Raw genomic sequence first — 6,935 nt, forward strand, 5'->3', positions numbered from 1 at the left:
GTTTCTTTTTTGGCTAGTTTGTTATTGGGGTATAGAAATGCTATTGATTTTTGTATGCTGATTTTGAACCCTGCAACTTTGCTAACTTTGTCAATTAGTTCTAACAGCTTTTTTGGTAGAGTTTTTAGGATTTTCTATATAAAATGTCATGTCATCTGCAAACAGGGACAATTCGACTTACTCTTTCCAATTTAAATGCCCTTTATTGATTTATCCTGCATAATTGCCCTAGCTAGGACGTCCCAGATGCTATATTGAAAGTGGGCATCCTTGCCTTGTTCTAGTTCTTTGGAGGAAATTCTGGAAGCTTTTCAGTATGATGTTAGCTTTGGCTTTGTCACATATGGCTTTTATTGTGTTGAAGTATGTTGCTCTTATACCTAATTTGTTGAGAGTTTTTATCAAAAGCTTTTTCTACATCAATTGAGATAATTATATTGTTTTCATTCTTCATTCTTTGATGTGATGTATCACATTTATTGATTTGTGTATGTTGAATCATTCTTGCATCCCTAGGATAAATTCCACTTAATCACAGTGTATTATATTTTTGATGTGCTGTTGATTTCACTTTGCTAGTATTTTACTGAGGTTTCTGGCATCTATCAATTCATCAGGGATATTGGCCTGGAGTTTTCTTTTTGTTGATTTTGTTTGGTTTTGGTATTAGATTAATGCTGGCCTCACAGAATGAGTTAGGAAGAATTCTATCCTCATCGTTTTTTTGGGATAGTTTGAGAAGAATTTGTGTTGAATTATCTTTAACAGTTTGTTAGAATTCAACATTAAAGCCATCTGGTCCTGTACTTTTCTTGGTGAGAGATTTCATTTAATGATTGAATTTTGATACTCATTATTGGTCTGTTCAAGTTTTCTATTCCTTCCTGGTTCAATCTTGGTAGGTTATATGTGTCTAGAAATTTGTCCATTTATTGTAGGCTTCACAATTTTTTCATATATCAATTTTTTACAGTCTAATTTCTTTGGTATCAGTTGTAATGCTTCCTCTTTCATTTCTCATTTTATTTATTTGGGTCTCAACTTTTTTCTTAGGCTAGCTAACAGTTTGTTAATTTTGTTTCAATTTTCAAAAATCTAACTTTTCATTGATCTTTTGCATTTTAGTCTCTATTTTGTTTAGAGAAATGGTTTTATTATTTCTTTCTTCTGCTGCGATATTTCTTATTTCATTACTTCTACTAATTTTGGGTTTCATTTGTTCTTGCTTTGTAGTTCCTTGAGGTACATCATTATGTTGTTTACTTAAAATCTCTCTGCTTTTTTGATGTAGGTGTTTATTGGTATAAACTTTTCTGTTAGTACAGCTATTCCAGTATCTGATAGGTTTTGATGTGTCCTGTTTTATTTTATTTTAAATTAAAACACACTATTTTAAATAAATTTATTTATTTCAAAAAATGTATTTTATTTCTTAGACACATTAGTAATCCAGAAGCAAGTTATTTAATTTCCATGTATTTGTACAATTTCCAAAGTTCCTTTTGTTATTGATTTCTAGTTTTCTTTGTCATCTCAGAAGATATCTGATATGATTTTGATTTTTTAAAATTTGTTGTGACTTGTTTTGTGATGATATAATGAAAATAAGTAATGAAATAATGGTTGATCCTGAGAATGTTCCATGTGCTCATGAGAAAAATGTATATTCTGAAGCTGTTGAATGAAATGTTCTGTAAATATCTGGTATGTCCATTTGGTCTAAGTCTATTTGATCTATCTATTGTAGTTCAAGTCCAATGTTTCTTTGTTGAATTTCTGTCTATATGATCTAATGCTGAGAGTATCTAATGCTGAAAGTGGCATTAAATTCCCCAACAATTATTGTATTGGGATATATCTTTCTCTTTAGCTGTAATAATTTTTGCTTTATATATCTGGGTGGTCTGGGATTAGTTGCATACATATTTATAGTTGTCATATCTTCTCGCTGAATCAATCCCCTTATCATTATGTAATGACCTTCTTTGTCTCCCTTGTTCTTTGAATTAAAATCTATTTTGTCTGACATAAATATTTGTACTCCTGCATGCTTTTGCTTTCTTTTTGTGTGGAATATCTTTTTATGTTTCATTTTTAGTCATGTGTCTTTAATTGTACAGTGAGTTTCTTATACACAGCATATAGTTGGTTCTTATAGTTTTATTCATTTAGCCAATCTATACTTTTCAATTAAAAATTTCAACCATTTACATTAAACATTATTATTGATAGGTGGAGACTTACTCCTGTCATTTTCTTAATTTTTTCTGATATTTTATATTTATTCTTTGTTTCTTCCTCTCTTATTGGTTATCTTTGCATTTGGTGGTTTTCTGTAGTAATGATGTTGGTTTTATTTCTCTTTCTCTTTTGTGTATCTGGTCTACCAGTGGGTTTTATAGTTTCATGTGTTTTCATGATGGTAGATATCATCCTTTTACTTCCCAATGTAGGACTGCCTTAAACATTTTTTCTGTAGGAACATTGTAGTGGTAATCATTTCTCAGGTTTTGCATAACTGTGAGAAACTTTATTTCTTGTTTGTTTCTGAAAGATAGCTTTGGAATATGTAGTATTCTTGGCTAACAATTTTATTTTTTTCAGCAGTTTGAATCTATCATCTTATTCTCTTCTGGCCTATATTTGGTGAGGATCTCCTTATATGTGGTACAACCATTTTTATCTTTTTTTTTTGCTTGTTTCTTTGTTTTAATTCTCTCTTCCTTTGATTTTTGACAGTTTGACTTCACAGTGCCTCAAACAGGACTTTTGGGTTGAATCTATTTGAGGATCTTTAAGCTTCTTGTTTCTGGATGTCTAGATCTCTCCCAAGACTTGGAACAGTTTCAGCTATTACTTCACTAAATAAGTTTTCTATGTTTTATTTTTTATCTCTTTGCCTTCTAAAATTGTCAAAATGCAAATATTTGTTTGCTTAATGTTGTCCCATGTAACACATAGGCTTTCCTCATTTTAAAAATATTTATTTGTTTTTTTTTTCTTTTTGTCTAACTGTGTTGTTTCAAAAGGCCTGTCTTCCAGTTCGGTAATTATTTCTTCTGACTGAATGACTCTATCATTTAAGCTATCAATTATATTTTTTATATTTTATTTTTTCAATTCTCCAGTTCTAAGATTTCTGTTTGGATATTTATTTGTGCAATCTATTTCTTTGTTAAATTTCTCATTCTGATCATGAATTGTTTTCCTAATTTATTTGAGGTCTATGTATGTTCTCATGTATCTCACTGAGTTTCCTTAAGATCACTGGTGTCTGTTACTGGACAATATTTTGTTCCCCTGGAGTTTTCATGTTTCCTTGCTTTTTCATGTTTCTTGGTTTCCTACATTAACGTCTGTGAATCTAGTTGAATAGTCACCTCTTTAAAGTTTATACAGCAGCTTTTGTAGGAAAAGGCTTTTTCTTGTAGATTTGTCTATAGTGTCAGTTGGGTAGGGTATTTTGGCTTTGGTTCTGGATGTGCACAGTAATGTAGTCTCTATAGAAATTCTGAGTCTATCATCAATGTCAGTTGTGTCTCTGTGTTACTCAGTGACCTAGGATGCTATTGTTTCTGGAGGCAGTGGCATGACTTGCTGCAAGAGAAATGCTAGATCCCTGAGGGTGCACATGGGTGGGCAGTGGCCCCAGTGTTGGAGGGATAAATTTGTTAGAGGTAGCAGTGGCAGGCCCAAGTGGCCTGATCTTTAGGCCCCTGGTTGGCAGGCACCAACAGTGCCCAGTCTCAAGTAAGCTGGTTTTTTGGCCCTGGGATAGCATAGTCGTGTGCCAGTGGTGGCAGCAACATGCTGGTCCTAGGCCACTTGAGGGGTGCACATGGACACCAGCTATGGTGGCAGCAGGCCCCAGGTAGGGTGGTTTCAAGCTCTTAGGAAGTGCACGTGGGTGCCAGTGGTGGTGGCAATGGGCCCTACATGGGCTGATCTTCAGGCTCCTGAACAGTGTGCATAGCCACTGATGTTGGCAAATTGGGCTACAGGCAGGCTGATCTGTAGGATATGTGCAAGCACTGCTGCTGTCAGCAGTGGGCCAGTCCTTGGGACCCTGGGTGGTGTGTGCCCACAATGGCCATGGCAGCAGCAGGACCCGAGGGTTGGTCTTCAAGCCACTGAGGAGTGCATTCAGGCACATGGTGATCCCACTGCTGGAGGCACTGGAATTGCTTTCAGCAGCTGCAGCCCCAGGTAAGCAGCTCTCAGTCTCTGGGGAGCACGTGCATTGGCTCCCTGTGTTCTGAGGGCAGCCACTTTGATATTCTCAGGTACCTGTTCCTCAGGGTGTAGGATGCTGCATGGGTTTAGATACCAGAGATGTGGCTTCAACCCCAGGTCTAGCTGATATCAGGATGCTGCAGCACTTTGGGTGGATGTGGGGGAATGTCAGCAGGGCCTCAGGGATATGGAGGTTCAAGGGCTGTTTGTCCCAGAACAGAATGTACTCTGGGGGTAGCCTTGCTCTCAACATGTCACCATGCTGCAGCCTGGGCCATAGGGTGTGGGGGTATCCAACAAAAATTCCCACTCTAGAATAGTACAGTCAGATGGACTCCAGGCAGCTCTCTTTACAAACCTAGGGCCTGTGAGGCCTCAGAGGCTTTTCTGTAGCTAGAATTGCAGGTGTCTGTGGTGGGATTGTGGACTGCTGGGGATCTCCCACTTACCTTATCCCTGAAATGGAGAGTCCCTCTAAAGGCAGGGTGACCCAGGCTAGTTGCTTCATTTCCTTCTCTATGCTGCCGTTTCGAGTTTACGTGTCTCAGAGGGTTTTTTCTTTCCTTGCTGAATTCCAGTGTTCTCCTTTTAGAAGCTCTATTTGATGTGCAGTTATCTATTTTCTGTTTTAGTTCTTTTTTTTTTTTTTAGGAGGTGAGTGCTGAATGCTTCTAGTCAGCCATATTGATGTTCTCTTTCTTACAGTCAGAGTTCTAGTTAACATGCTCCCTGATGCCCTAAAGGATATTATGTATTAATATAGTTGTGTTTTTTTTTGTTTGTTTTTGTTTTTGTTTTTGTTTTTTGAGACAGAGTCTTGCTCTCTTGCTCAGGCTAGAGGGTAGTGGCACAATCTCGGCTAACTGCAACCTCCATCTCCCAGGTTCAAGCAATTCTCCTGCCTCAGCCTTCGGAGTAGCTGGGACTGCAGGTGCATGCCACCATGCCCAGCTAATTTTTGTATATTTAGTAGGACAGGGTTTCACCATGTTGGCCAGGCTGGTCTTAAACTCCTAACCTCAGGTGATCCTCCCTCCTCAGCCTCCCAAAATGCTGGGATTACAGGTGCTAGTATTGATTTTTAAAGACATGAGCCACTGTGCTCTGCCTCGGTATTTGTTATATAATTTTTCTTTATGGTCTTTCTCTCCCATAGAGCGATAAATCATTCATGACAAAATACTTTCAATAAATGTTAACTAAATAAATGAATGAATAAGTAAATATAGATGTAAAGAATGTAATACTCTGGCTGACATAGACATCAGCTGTTTTTGTTTGTTTTTACCCACCAAGAATAAAATGAAATTTCAATCACAGATATTTAGGATAAAGATGATAATCGGCTCCAAAATCACTTTGTTCTTTTGGAGCCCTTAAAACACCAGAGTTCCCAAAATATGTGAATTGCTTGTCTTTGGTTACCTTTTTCGACAGTTATATAGATAGATACATATGTATATAAACATATAAATCTGTATCTATATATATACACACACATATATATCTGTATATATATACTGATATATATATATCTATATATCTCTATCTGTCTAGATACAGATATGTGTATCTGTAGAAAAAATATATATTTCTTGGTCTGGGTCTCCTAAGGAATCTAAATTGATAAATAATACTATGTACTGAGAATAAAAAAGAAACAAATATGTGAAAGGATAAGTGAGAAACAAACTTTCTCAAAATTACAAATTTTACTGTAATGACATCAACCTTTCTTCATGCAGATAGAAAGTACATAAGCTCAGCAAGCGATGATGTTAAAGGCTATAAATTCATTTTTCGATTTGCAGGAGACTTGTTCTCATTCCTGGGGGAAAATATTCAGTATGATTGAGACTCAGTGTCTTTATCTGTTACACACAGTAACATGCTTTACAGGGATTTAGTCCAATAACTTAATAATAATTAAAACTCTGAAAGAAAAATGAAAAACAACTAAGAACTATTAAAATAATTGCAGACATTATATAACAATGAGAATTTTAGATCATATAAAAGCTTTGTTTCTCAAATGTACTCAGCATGAAGCATGACATCGTGAAATGTCTCAGGTTTCTGTTTTAGATCTGAAAATGAATTCATACACACCAGCAGTTTTTGTCAGCTTTACGGCTCAGTATAAAAATTAATCTTGGACAGCCAGGGCTGTTTCTCAATTTCAACTGTCCTAGGAAGAAAACAAATATTTTTTCAATGAGTTATGCACATTTTGCTTCCATTCAACGTCATATGATAGTTCATGCCCTGCACATTTGAAACAAATGCTTGCTTAGATGACGTTCTGGGTATTTCTTTCATATTTTACCTGGTTTCACTATGTTTAATGTTTTTGTTGTCTTTTTACAAAATATATATTTTGAGGTTTTATACATTCCTTGATGTTGTTTCTGTTTTTATGTCTCCATTTTGAGGAAGTTGGTAGAAAGGATGTAGCCTGCTATATATACAGAAAAACTATTAAAATACTTTATGGTAAAAATTAAAGTTTCCGGAGACTCACTGAAAGCAATTTATTCTTAGTGAATATTTCTTATTCACTTTTTCAAGTTATTATCTGTCTGATACAGGAGCCCCCTCCCATACAAACAAGAACAATGAGCATAGATGAATCTACGATCACATTTTGCCCTTCAGGCCATGTTAAAGACAAACCTGGAAGCCCAGTTGCAGACACTTAGCAG

At 35.9% G+C, this 6,935-nt stretch overlaps 1 long non-coding RNA gene across 1 annotated transcript in view, besides 1 other annotated feature; it reads right to left on the bottom strand.

Annotated features, from left to right (window-relative positions):
• Nucleotides 1–6,417, bottom strand: part of LOC107985866 (uncharacterized) — a 29,755-nt gene extending 23,338 nt beyond the window's left edge. Inside the window, exon 1 of the long non-coding RNA XR_001739400.1 lies at nt 6,343–6,417. This is a non-coding gene — a long non-coding RNA (uncharacterized LOC107985866). The remainder of the gene's footprint in view (nt 1–6,342) is intronic.
• Nucleotides 3,961–4,129: a silencer, noted in NCBI's record as "fragment chr2:35800315-35800483 (GRCh37/hg19 assembly coordinates)". NCBI's record gives its function as "represses an EF-1alpha promoter that drives an FKBP-Casp9 reporter gene in an ReSE screen in K562 erythroleukemia cells {active_cell/tissue: K562}" and the evidence as "EXISTENCE:reporter gene assay evidence [ECO:0000049][PMID:32094911]".
• Nucleotides 6,418–6,935: the final 518 nt, after the last annotated feature.

This window comes from Homo sapiens, chromosome 2 (assembly GCF_000001405.40).
Source record: "Homo sapiens chromosome 2, GRCh38.p14 Primary Assembly".
Classification (NCBI taxonomy): Eukaryota; Metazoa; Chordata; class Mammalia; order Primates; family Hominidae; genus Homo; species Homo sapiens.